Source organism: Homo sapiens, chromosome 9 (genome assembly GCF_000001405.40).
Source record: "Homo sapiens chromosome 9, GRCh38.p14 Primary Assembly".
NCBI classification, from domain to species: domain Eukaryota; kingdom Metazoa; phylum Chordata; class Mammalia; order Primates; family Hominidae; genus Homo; species Homo sapiens.
The window spans coordinates 37,467,266-37,479,803 of NC_000009.12; the positions used below are offsets into that span (position 1 = coordinate 37,467,266).

At 43.5% G+C, this 12,538-nt stretch overlaps 1 pseudogene, besides 2 other annotated features; it reads left to right on the plus strand.

Moving 5' to 3' along the window:
• Positions 1,660-2,491: an enhancer, noted in NCBI's record as "H3K27ac-H3K4me1 hESC enhancer chr9:37468922-37469753 (GRCh37/hg19 assembly coordinates)". NCBI's record gives its function as "activates a minimal SCP1, AML or CMV promoter by ChIP-STARR-seq in naive H9 embryonic stem cells {active_cell/tissue: H9 hESC(naive)}" and the evidence as "EXISTENCE:reporter gene assay evidence [ECO:0000049][PMID:30033119]".
• KCTD9P3 (potassium channel tetramerization domain containing 9 pseudogene 3) lies at positions 9,700-11,245 on the plus strand (annotated as a pseudogene).
• Positions 9,866-11,065: an enhancer, noted in NCBI's record as "CDK7 strongly-dependent group 2 enhancer chr9:37477128-37478327 (GRCh37/hg19 assembly coordinates)". NCBI's record gives its function as "activates an origin of replication core promoter dependent on BRD2, BRD4, P300/CBP, MED14 and CDK7 cofactors, with strong dependence on CDK7, by STARR-seq in HCT116 cells {active_cell/tissue: HCT116}" and the evidence as "EXISTENCE:reporter gene assay evidence [ECO:0000049][PMID:35650434]".

The following is a 12,538-nucleotide window of genomic DNA, read 5'->3' on the forward strand; positions in this document are numbered from 1 at the left end:
GCAAAAGTTTTAAAAATTGTATATTCAGAATTTAGGAGTGTGTGGAAGTGGACACCCGCTATATTGTGGACGGGGGTGTCACTGATGCCCTGTTTGACGATCACTTCGTAGTATCTATCAAAATTTAAAATATGCATTTGTTCCCTTCTAGATGGTAATTCCTTTCTAGAAATATATGCTACCGAAATACAAAGATGTGGAATAATAAACCCAAGGCTGTTTACCACACCTTTGTAAGTACAAGGGGCGGGGGGGGGGGGGTAAGTGGACAACAAACCTAAATGTGTAACTAAAGAAGATTACAAAAATTTGATAAATATGTATCATGGCTCCTTCATGACTAAGGCTCCTATAGATACAAAACGAAAGTAATAAAACCCTGCGGCCAGGCGCGGTGGCTCACGCCTGTAATCCCAACACTTTCGGAGGCCGAGGAGAGTGGATCACGAGGTCAGGAGTTCGAGGCCAGCCTGACCAATATGGCGAAACCCCATCTATATTAAAAAAGTACAAAAATTAGCCGGGCTTGGTGGCTCATGCCTGTAATCCCAGCTTCTCAGGAGGCTGAGGCAGGAGAATCGCTTGAACCCGGGAGGCGGAGGTTGCAGTGAGCCGAGATTGCGCCACTTCACTCCAGCCTGGGTGACAGAGAGAGACTCCGTTTCAAAAAAAAAAAAAAAAAAAAAAAAAGAGCGGGTCTCCTTAATTTTTATTTAACAGACAGGTGTTGTTACTTTAATAGTATTTAGGAAAACCTGGAATTTCAGGTTGCTTAGATTTTCTAATCACTGACAAAATTATTCCTAAAGTAACCTATACATTTCTCGAAAAATGTATCAATAAGATACTTTCTGAAATTAGACAAATAAGTTCTAAGATTCATAAGGGGAGATAATATTGAAAGAATAGGCAAGACAGTCATGGAAAAAATAAGTTGGGTATCTACCTGTGAGGCAGGATAACAAGGTCTGGAGGCGGGGACCCTCAGGCCGACTCCTGCTGACTGGATATCAGAAGCCACTCTCTTTTCACCCACGCCTTTTTCTGCGTGGCAGTTGCTCCGTGGCAGTTGCAAGCCCTCCTTTTTCTGTCTGGCAGTTGAAAAATGAAAATACCGGCCGGGCGTAGTGGCTCACGCCTGTGATCCTAGCACTTTGGGAGGCCGAAGCGGACGGATCCCTCAGATCAGGAGTTCGAGACCAGCCTGGCCAACATGGCGAAACCCCGTCTCTACTAAAAGGACAAAAATTAGCCGGGCGAGGTGGTGGGCGCCTGTAATCCCAGCTACTCAGGAGGCTGAGGCAGGAGAATAGCTTCAACCTGGGAGGCGGAGGTTGCAGTGAGCCGAGATCGCACGCCACTGCACTCCAGCCTGGGCGACAAGAGCGAGACTTGGTCTCAAAAAAAAAAAAGAAAGAAAGGCAAGGCAGGGCAGGGGAAGGCAAGGCAGGGCAGGGCAGGGCAGGGCAAGGCGCAGGGCAAGGCAGGGCAAGGCAGGGCAAGGCAGGGCAGGGCAAGGCAAGGCAAGGCAAGGCAAGGCCTCTGATAGCTCCTCTCCTGAAAAAATCAGACTGATCATGGGCCCACTCTTCATGCTGACTGGTCCCTTCCTGCAACCAATCAAACTGGTTACTGGCCTACTCTTCATTCTGACTGGTCCCCTCCCGCAACCAATCAGACTGATGGTGGGCCAATGGGAAACCTCTGGAGGTATTTAAACTCCAAAAAATTCTGTATCCCACGCTTTTCAGGCTTGTTCAACCCTGCTCCCACCCTGTGGCGCGTACTTTTGTTTAAAATAAATTTCTGCGGCTGGGCGCTGTGGCTCACGCCTGTAATCCCAGCACTTTGGGAGGCCGAGGCGGGCAGATCACGAGGTAAGGAGATCGAGACCATCCTGGCTAACACGGTGAAACCCCGTCTCTACTAAAAATACAAAAAAATTAGCCAGGCATGGTGTCGGGCGCCTGTAGTCCCACCTACTTGGGAAGCTGAGGCAGGAGAATGGCGTGAACCCAGAAAGCGGAGCTTGCAGTGAGCCGAGATCGAGCCACTGCACTCCAGCCTGGGTGACAGTGCGAGACTCTGTCTCAAAACAAAACAAAACAAAAATTAGCCAGGCATGGTGGCACACACCTGTGATCCCAGCTACTCGGGAGGCTGAGGCAGGAGAATCGCTTGAACCCAGGAGGCGGAGGCTGCGGTGAGCCAAGATCGCGCCATGGTGCTACAGGTTGGGCAACAAGAGCAAAACTCCGTCTCGATAAATAGATAAATAAATAAATTTCTGCTTTCACTTCCTTGCTTTGTTTGTGTGTTTTGTCCAATTCTTCAAAATGCCAGAGAACATGGACAACTACCTTCAAGTGGTAATACCTGACTTTTTACAACAAATTTAATATCAATTTAATCAAATATAATATTTTTAAGCCAAACTATAATAGCAAAAGAAGAAAACCTGGAAAGAATTTTTTTTTTTTTTTTTAAGATAGAGTCTTGCTCTGTCGCCCAGGCTAGGGCAGTGGCACGATCTCAGCTCACTGCAACCTCCACCTCCCAGGTTCAAGGAATTTTCCTGCCTCAACCTCCCAAGGAGCTGGAACTACAGGCTCATACCACCGTGTCCGGATAATTTTTGTATTTTTTCGTAGAGATGGGGTTTTGCTATTTTGACCAGGCTAGTCTTGAACTCCTGACCTCAGGTGATCTGCCCACCTTGGCCTCCCAAAGAGCTGGGATTACAGGCGTGAGCCACTGCACTTGGCCAAACAATATATTTTATAATCTTGAAGTAAAGTAGACCTTTTTAAACAAAATACAAAGCCTGAGCGGTAGAGAGTAAGTCTGATAAATGAAGCTAAATAATAATTTACATTTTTCTATTGTGCAAAAAATTCCATAATTGAAAGACAAAGAATAGAGAAAACCATTTGCAACACATAACATAGATTTTAAAAAAAATTTTTAGAGACAAGAGTCTCACTCTGTCATCCAAGCTGGAGTACGGTGGCATGATCAACTCACTACAGCCTGAACCTTCTGGGCTCAAGCAATCCTCCTGCCTCAGCCTCCCTAGTAGTTGGGATTACAGGCATGTGCCATCATGCCTGGCAAGTTTTTATTTTTTGTAGAGATGGGGTCTCACTGTGTTGCCCAGGATGGTCTCAAATTCCTGACCTCAAGCAGTCTTCCTGCCTCAGCCTCCCAAAGTGCTAGGATCACAGGCATGAGCCAATGTGCCCGGCCATAACATAGATTTAAAAGGCTAGGTTCCTTAACATATAAAGAGTTCCTGTATCTCATTAAGACCAATAACCAACTGTAAAAATAAGCAAAGGACACAAATAGAGAATTCATAGAACAAGACATAAAAATGGCTGACGCCTGTAATCCCAGCACTTTAGGAGGCCGAGGCTGGCGGATCATGAGGTCAGGAGTTCGAGACCAGCCTGACACACATGGTGAAACCTCATCTCGACTAAAAATGGAAAAATTAGCCAGGCGTGGTGGCACGTGCCTGTAATCCCAGCTACTCAGGAGGCTGAGGCAGGAGAATCGCTTGAACCCCAGAGGCAGAGGTTGTGGTGAGCCCAGATGGCGCCACTGCACACCAGCCTGGGTGACAGAGCAAGACTCCGTCTTAAAAAAAAAAAAGAAAAAGGAAAAAGAAAATGGCTGATAAACATGAAAAGATTCTCATTCTACCTCATACAAAAGAAATACTAAATATAATACAATGAGATATCATTATTCAACTATCTGGATCAGAAAAAAATCAAACTATTTTATAACATGCCATGTTTGCAAGGGTTTAGGTATAAGCAGCCATTCTTATTCACAGCTAGTGGGAGTAGAAATTGGTACAGATTCTACAGAAGTCAATTTGGCAGTATCTACTAATGGAATCCACTCAGAACTACTGATGTGCTATGGAGATTATTTTAAGCTGAAAACATCTAACAAACAGCAGCCATAAAGAAAAAATCTTATCTAAGCTTCTTTCCTTGATTTATCCAAAGCTTCCTGAAAATACAACCATCACAAATCCCCTTTCCAGGTGGTTTACAACCAGAAAGGAGATAGCTCATTTGCACCTGGATGAGAAATTACATAAACAAAAGGTTATCAGAATTGTCTGTACCTTCCACTTCTTTGCTTTCACTTGTTTCTCACTAGTTTCTCACCATTTGCTTTCCCTTGAAGTCCGAACTCTCTTCCTTGAAGGTCCTGTCTCTCCTTATTAAGATGATACATAAATCCTTAACTCTAACTGTAGGGAGTGTCACTTTTTCTGTACACTTCCACATACATGAATAAACTTGTCTTTTCTTCTGTCAATCTGTCTTTTTTCAGTTAATCTGTAGGGCTCCAATCATTGAATCTTAAGTTGGCAAAAATTCATCTACAAATAATCTCTTACTCAGTGAGATCACACTTTTAGAATTTTATCCCACACATATACACAAGTATAAAATCACATATGCACAGTTATTTATTGCAGCATTATTTGTATTAAAAAACAATCCAAAACAAACAATTCATCAGTGAGGACTAACTAAATAAATTAGAGTACATCCATACAATTGAATCTATGAAGTTGTTAAACAAAATATTGAGGGAGGCTGGGCGCAGTGGCTCATGCCTGTAATTCCAGCACTTTTGGAGGCCAAGGCAGAAGGATCACTGGAGTCCAAGTGTTCAAGACCACCCTGGGCAACATAGGGAGGCCCCATCTCTGCAAAAAATACAGAAATTAGCCAGGTTTGGTGGCGTGCACCTGTAGTCCAAGCTACTTGGGAGCCTGGGTGCAAGGATCACTTGAGCCTGGGACATCAAGGGTGCAGTGAGCCATGATCATGCCACTGCACTCGCAGTGAGCCATGATCATGCCACTGCACTCCAGCCTGGGCGACAAAGTGAGATCCTGTCTCAAAAAGAAAAAAAAAAAATTGAGGAAAGAAAAAAAAAAAAAGAATGAGGAGACTTTCACTTTTGCTATAACAGAGTAACTAACTGCTCCCGTACTTGTCCTCCGTGAGTAAACACCTAGAAAACTAGAAAAAAAAAAGGTGAAATAATGTTTTTAGACATTGGACAGTAGGCAGCACAAAACAGTGATTCCTGAGAGAGGGGGGAACAAAAGCAAGGGAGCCTTACAATTGCTCCAGTTTTCTTCCCGGAGACACTTTCTGGACAACGAAACAGGAAGGAGAGTTCAAACAGAGCATGGTAGTCTCCCACTGATTTGAGGAGAGAGATTGGAATTCCAAGAGAGTGAGTCAGCAGGAATTTGCAGGGTAAATTACTGGAGAAGAGGCACCTAGGCATAAAAAGCCTTCCAGAAATTCTTCCTAGGAATCTTCCACAGTCTGTTAGTGATTACCAAACTGTGTATGAGTAAGATGAAACTCTAAAATAGGCCAGGCAAAGAACAATTCTGAAAAATCACACAGAGATGGGAAACATTCAAATTCTGACTAAAGCTGAATAATAAAAATAAGATTTTGTTTGTTTTTCAATTTCTTTAAAAGAAAGGCTTTTGGCCGGGCACGGTGACTCACGCCTGTAATCCCAGCCCTTTGGGAGGCTGAGGTGGGCGGATCACAAGGTCAGGAGTTCGAGACCAGCCTGGTGAATGTGGCGAAACCCCGTCTCTACTAAAAATACAAAAAAATTAGCCAGGAGTGGTGGCAGGCACCTGTAGTCCCAGCTACTCAGGAAGCTGAGGCAGGAGAATCACTTGAACCTGGGAGGCAGAGGCTGTGTGAGCCGAGATTGTGCCACTGCACCCCAGTCTGGGCAACAGGGCGAGACTCCGTCTCAAAAACAAAAAAAAAAAGAAAGGCTTTTACATTGTATGTGAAATGGTGTAATATTATCTCTATGTACACGGATATTTTAAAGATGCATTTTTTTTCTTTTTTTTTTTTTTGAGATGGAGTTTCACTCTTGTTGCCCAGGCTGGAGTGCAATGGCTCAATCTCGGCTCACTGCACCTCCGCCTCCCAGGTTCAAGCGATTCTCCTGCCTCAGCCTCCCTAGTAGCTGGGATTACAGGTGTGTGCCACCATGCCCAGCTAATTTTGTATTTTTAGTAGAGATGGGGTTTCACCACGTTGGTCAGGCTGGTCTCAAACTCCTGACCTCAGATGATCCACCCACCTCGGCCTCCCAAAGTGCTGGGATTGCAGGCATGAGCCACCATGCCTGGCCAAAGATGCATGTTATAAACCCTAGAGCAGGGGTCAGCAAATATTTTCTATAAAGGGACAGACAGTAAATATTTTGGGCTTTGCAAACTGCAAGTGGTCTCTGTTGCATATTCATCACATATTTTTCTTCCTCCTTTTGTTTTTGTTTTGTTTTGTTTTTGCAACTCTTAAGAAATGTATAAACATTCTTAGCCCAAGGATTATATAAAAATAGGCCAAATTTAGCCATTGGGACATTGTTACAAACTGAATGTTTGTGTCTCCTCCACCTGGATTGATGTGTTGCAGCCCTAACCCCCAGTGTGATGGTATTAGGAGGTGGGACCTTTGGGAGGTAATTAGCTTTAAATGAGATCTTGAGGGTAGAGCACCCAGGATGGGATTGGTGGCTGTAAAAGAAGAGGAAGATGGAGTGGTGCCTCACACCTGTAATCCCAGCACTTTGGGAGGCTGAGGCAGGCAGATCATGAGGTCAGGAGTTTAAGACCAGCCTGACCAACATGGTGAAACTCCATCTCTGCTAAAAACCCAAAAATTAGCCAGGTGTGGTGGTGCACACCTGTAATCCCAGCTACTCAGGAGGCTGAGGCAAGAGAATCGCTTGAACCCAGCATGCGGAGGTTGCAGTGAGCCGAGATAGCACCACTGCACTCCAGCCTGGGCAACAGAGCAAGAATCTGCCTCAAAATAAATAAATAAATAAATAAATAAATAAATAAATAAATAAGAGAAAGAGACACTAGAGCTTCTCTCTCCGTCGTGTGAGGATACAGCAAGAAGGTGGCTGTCTACAAGGCAGAAAGGGGGCCCTCACCAGGAACTGAATCTGCTGGCGCCTTGATCTTGGATATTAGAGCCTCAAGAACTGTGAAAAATAAAGGTCTGTTGTTTAAGTCACTCACTCTGTGGTATTTTGTTATAGCAACCCAAGCCGACTAAGACAGTCATATTTGCCACCCCCTTCTCTAGATCAACCACCGAAAACACTAAAGAGGTATATCTAATAACCAATAGTGGAAATAAAATAAATACTAAAAAAATTCTAATAATCCAAAAGAATGCAGGAAAAAGGAATAAAAAAGGAATGGCACAAATAGAAAACAGTAACTGAATGGTAGATTTAAACCCAACAATGTTGATAATTACACTAAATGTAAATGCTCTAAAAGCTTCAATTAAAAGGCAGTGATTGTTAGACTGAATTAAAAAAAAGACCCAACTATATGCAGTGCATAGAAAACCTGTTTTAAATATAAAGACATAAATAGGTTGAGAGTAAAAAATATGGAAAAAGATATATCATATAAACGACAATCATAAGAAAACCGGAGTGACTATATTAATATTTGGTAAAGTGGATTTTAGGATAAGTTATACTGCAAGATATTAAGAAAGACAATTCTAATGATAAAAGGGTGAATTAATAAAGAAGAGATAATTCCCCTGAATGAACATGTTTCTAGTAACAAAGCTTCAAAACACATCTTAGCCCATTATCTGTTGCTATAACAGATCACCAGCACAGGCTGGGTGTATTAGCCCATTCTCACACTGGTATAAAGAAATACCTGAAACTTGGGTAATTTATAAATAAAAGAAATTTAATTGGCTCACAGTTCCATAGGCTCTACAGGAAGCATGGCTGGGGAGGCCTCAGAAAACTTACAGTCATTGTGGAAGGTGAAGGGAAAGCAGGCATATCTTACATGGTGGGAGCAAGAAGAAGAAAGTGAAGGGGGAGGTGCTATACACTTTCAAACAACCAGATCTCATGAGAGCTCTATCATGAGATAGCACTAGGGGAATAGTGCTAAACCATTAGAAACCACCACCATGATCCAATCACCTCCCACCAGGCCCCACCTCCAACACTGGGGATTACAATTCAACACGAGATTTGGGTAAGGACACAGAGCCAAACCATATCACTGGGTAACTCATAAAGACAGGGAATTAGTTGGCTCATGGTTCTGGAGTCCAGGAAATCAAAGAGCATGGCATTGGAATCTGGTGATTCCAGCCTGAAAAGGCAAGCCAGTGTATGAGACAAAGGGAGAGAGAAATTGGGCTGAACTAGTCTTTTTTAAAATCGGAAAACCACTACTCTGATAACTAACCCACTCCCACGATAATGGCATTAATTAATTCATGAAGGCAGAGCCCTTATGACCTAATTACTTCGTGTGTGTGTGTGTGCACGTGCGCGTATGTGTGTGTGTGACAGAGAGAATCTTACTCTGTTGCCCATCCTGGAGTGCAGTAGCAAGATCTCAGCTCACTGCAGCCTCAGCCTCACCAACTCAAGCATTCCTCCCACCCCAGCTTCCCATGTAGTTGGGAGCACAGGTGAATGCCATCACACCCAGCTAATTTTGTTTGTTTGTTTGTTTGTTTATATTGAGACGGAGTCTTGCTCTTTTGCCCAGGCTGGAGTGAAGTGGCACAATTTCGGTTCACTGCAACCTCGGCCCCCAGGTTCAAGCGATTCTCCCGCCTCAGCCTCCCAAGTAGCTGGGATACAGGCACCTGCCACCATGCCCAGTTATTTTTTTTTTGTATTTTTAGTAGAGACAGGGTTTCACCATGTTGGCCAGGCTGATCTGGAACTCCCAACCTCAGGTGATCCAACCGCCTCAGCCTCCCAAAGTGCCAAGATTACAGGCATGAGCCACTGCACCCAGCCTTGTTTATTTTTTGGTAGAGACAAGGTCTCACTATGTTGCCCAGGCTGGTCTCGAATTCCTGAGCAATTCTTTCACCTCAGCCTCCCAAAGTGCTAGAATTACAGGCGTGAACCACCATGCCCAGCCCCTAGTCACTTACTAAAGGCCCCACCTCTTAATACTATCACAATGGCAATTACATTTCAACATGACTTTTGGAGGGGACATTCAAACCATGGCAATATGTGAAGCCAACAAAACTGACAGAACCAGGCCGGGTGTGGCGGCTCACACCTGTAATCCCAGCACTTTGGGAGGCCAAGGCAGGCAGATCACTTGAGGTCAGGAGTTCAAGACCAGCCTGGCCAACATGGTGAAACCTCATCTCTACTAAAAATACAAAAAAATTAGCCAAGCATGGTGGCAGGTGCCTGTAATCCCAGCTACTCAGGAGGCTGAGGCAGGAGAATCGCTTGAACCCAGGAGACGGAGGTTGCAGTGAGCTGAGATCGCACCACTGCACTCCAGCCTGGGTGACAGAGTGAGACTCTGCCTCCAAAGAAACAAAAACAAAAAAACCTGATAGAACCTAAAAGGGCAATTCTAGAGACTCAGCAGTATCCACCCTATAGTATGCTTTTTCCATTTTCTGTGTTCCTCCTAGGAAGTTAGTTCCTGAAGCCAAGGATCGTAGATTTTAATTCTTATATCTTTTGAAATGTCTTGTACAATGTTAGAAGACAGCATGAGGATTTTAAAACATCTGAAAATTGTTCAGCGATAAATTTGACTGTGTATTAAGAATCCTTTTTAGGGGTGGGAAGGAGGACCAGCCGAACCCTCATGTGGGACAGAGTGCGTGTGTGGTGTGTCCCCAAGGGCAGGAATTTGGCGAAGGGAGGTGAATCAGAGTGGGTGGAGGGAGGGGAAGGGCGGGAGGAGAAAAAGGTGGGAAGAGGACCAGGTGGGAGGGTGGCAGCTCACTCAGGAACCCGCGGGGGCAGCGCAATGAGGCGGGTGACCCTGTTCCTGAACGGCAGCCCCAAGAACGGAAAGGTGGTTGCTGCATATGGAACTTCATGTGATTTGCTGTCTGTGGCCAGCAGTAAACTCGGCATAAAAGCCACCAGTGTGTATAATGGGAAAGGTGGACTGAATGATGATATTGTTTTGATCAGGGATGATGATGTTTTATTTGTGTGTGAGGGAGAGCCATTTATTGATCCTCAGACAGATTCTAAGCCTCCTGAAGGATTGCTAGGATTCCACACAGACTGGCTAACATTACATGTTGGAGGGCAGTACTTTACAACTACCTGGAGCACTTTAGTGAATAAAGAACCTGACATTATGCTGGCCCACATGTTTAAGGACAAAGGTGTCTGGGGAAATAAGCAAGATCATAGAGGAGCTTTCTTAATTGACCAAAGTCCTGAGTACTTTGAACCCATTTTGAACTACTTGCGTCATGGACAGCTCATTGTAAATGATGGCATTGATTTATTGGGTGTGTTAGAAGAAGCAAGATTTTTTGGTATTGACTCATTGATTGAACACCTAAAAGTGGCAATAAAGAATTCTCAACCACCAGAGGATCACTTACCAATATCCCGAAAGGAATTTGTCCGATGTTTGCTAGCAACTCCAACCAAGTCAGAAATGCGATGCCAGGGTTTGAACTTCAGTGGTGCTGAACTTTCTCATTTGGATCTTCGATACATTAACTTCAAAATCACCAATTTAAACTGCTGCAATCTTGCACATGCAAATCTTTGCTGTGCAAATCTTGAATGAGCTGATCTCTCTGGATCAGTGCTTGACTGTGCAAATCTCCAGGGAGTCAAATGCTCTGTTCTAATGCAGAAGGAGCATCTCTGAAACTGTGTAATTTTGAGGATCCTTCTGGTCTTAAAGCCAATTTAGAAGGTGCTAATCTGAAAGGTGTGGATATGGAAGGAAGTCAGATGACAGGAATTAACCTGAGAGTGGCTACCTTAAAAAATGCAAAGTTGAAGAACTGTAGCCTCAGAGGAGCAACTCTGACAGGAACTGATTTAGAGAACTGTGATCTGTCTGGGTGTGATCTTCAAGAAGCCAACCTGAGAGGGTCCAACGTGAGGGGAGCTAGATTTGAAGAGATGCTGACACCACTACACATGTCGCAAAGTGTCAGATGAGAATTTTAGGGGCTGAAGGAAGATGTGCAAGATGAAAATGTTTTCCTTATCGCTTTTCTTTCTCCACCCACTCAGTTGTCTAGAAGAAATAACACTGTCAGCAAATTTTAAAAAATCATTTAGAGGATTATGCTTGTTTTCAGCATGCATAAGGGAAAAAACTGACTTTTTTTTCCATATTCTGATTTTTAACGCAAAAGCACTCATTCAATAGATGTAGGGAAACTAGATATTGCTGCCTTTTGAATGGGGTAGGGGAGTTTACCTGGTTTTATGACCACGAATAGTATCTATTGTATTTGCTTTTAAATAGGCATGATGTGGAAATGCCCTCTTGGTTTGAGATGCATTTGAGGATTTTAATTTATGGAAAGCACAACATATGCAATTATATTTATTGAATACCTAGATGCAGTATGGATATTTAAATTGTTAAAACTTTATGAAAACTTGGAAAAGGTTGCTCAGGTTTATAAATAGCTTCAGTGATGCCTCCCCTCTTTAAATACCTGTCACACCATATGAATATGGTGAGATCAGACTCCCTAAAACTCTTTTCAGGTTCATTTTTATGTTTACTTTTTAGAACAAAATGTAGCTAAATTAAAGTAATATCCAGTTCTTACTGATTGAGACAGAGTGGAAAGAAAGACATCGTTGTACATCACCGTCATTCCAAAGGTACAGCGGAACTCCAGATGGAGGAAGAACTTACCTATCACTACAACACTTGTAAATGAGCATTTCTCAGAATTTCATTCTAGGGAAGTTCCACTCAACACCAGACCAAGAAATTCTATCTATTTATACTATCAGCCTAGTTTTCTTTCTTTTTTTTTTGAGACGGAGTCTCGCTCTGTCACTCAGGCTGGAGTGCAGTGGCGCAATCTCAGCTCACTGCAAGCTCCGCCTCCTGGGTTCACGCCATTCTCCTGCCTCAGCCTCCCAAGTAGCTGGGACTACAGGCGCCTACCACCACGCCCGGCTAATTTTTTTTGTATTTTTAGTAGAGACGGGGTTTCACCATGGTAGCCAGGATGGTCTTGATCTCCTGACCTCGTGATCTGCCCACCTCAGCCTCCCAAAGTGCTGGGATTACAGGCCTGAGCCACTGCACCTGGCCTTACCCTAGTTTTCTAATACAATCATCACAAGCATAGGAAGATACTTCAAAACCAAAACTCCAAGGTGCATCATTAGTATTCGTTTAATTCAAATACCAAATAGTTTACATAGGGCCAGCTTAGAAATAGACATTAAATCCAGATCTACTGCAATCAAAGCTTATACTATATGAATGAAGATGGTAGAGTTGCCTGTTAAAAGGCAATGTAATATAATTGCAGCTAGAATCCTACAGTGGAGAATGAGGAATTTTAAACAGACATTTGATTACAGCCACCAAAAAATATATATAAAGTAAAAATAAAGGCATTTGGCTGGCCCAAGATGTAATACCAATCAGTCAGTACCTGTGATTCTTTCA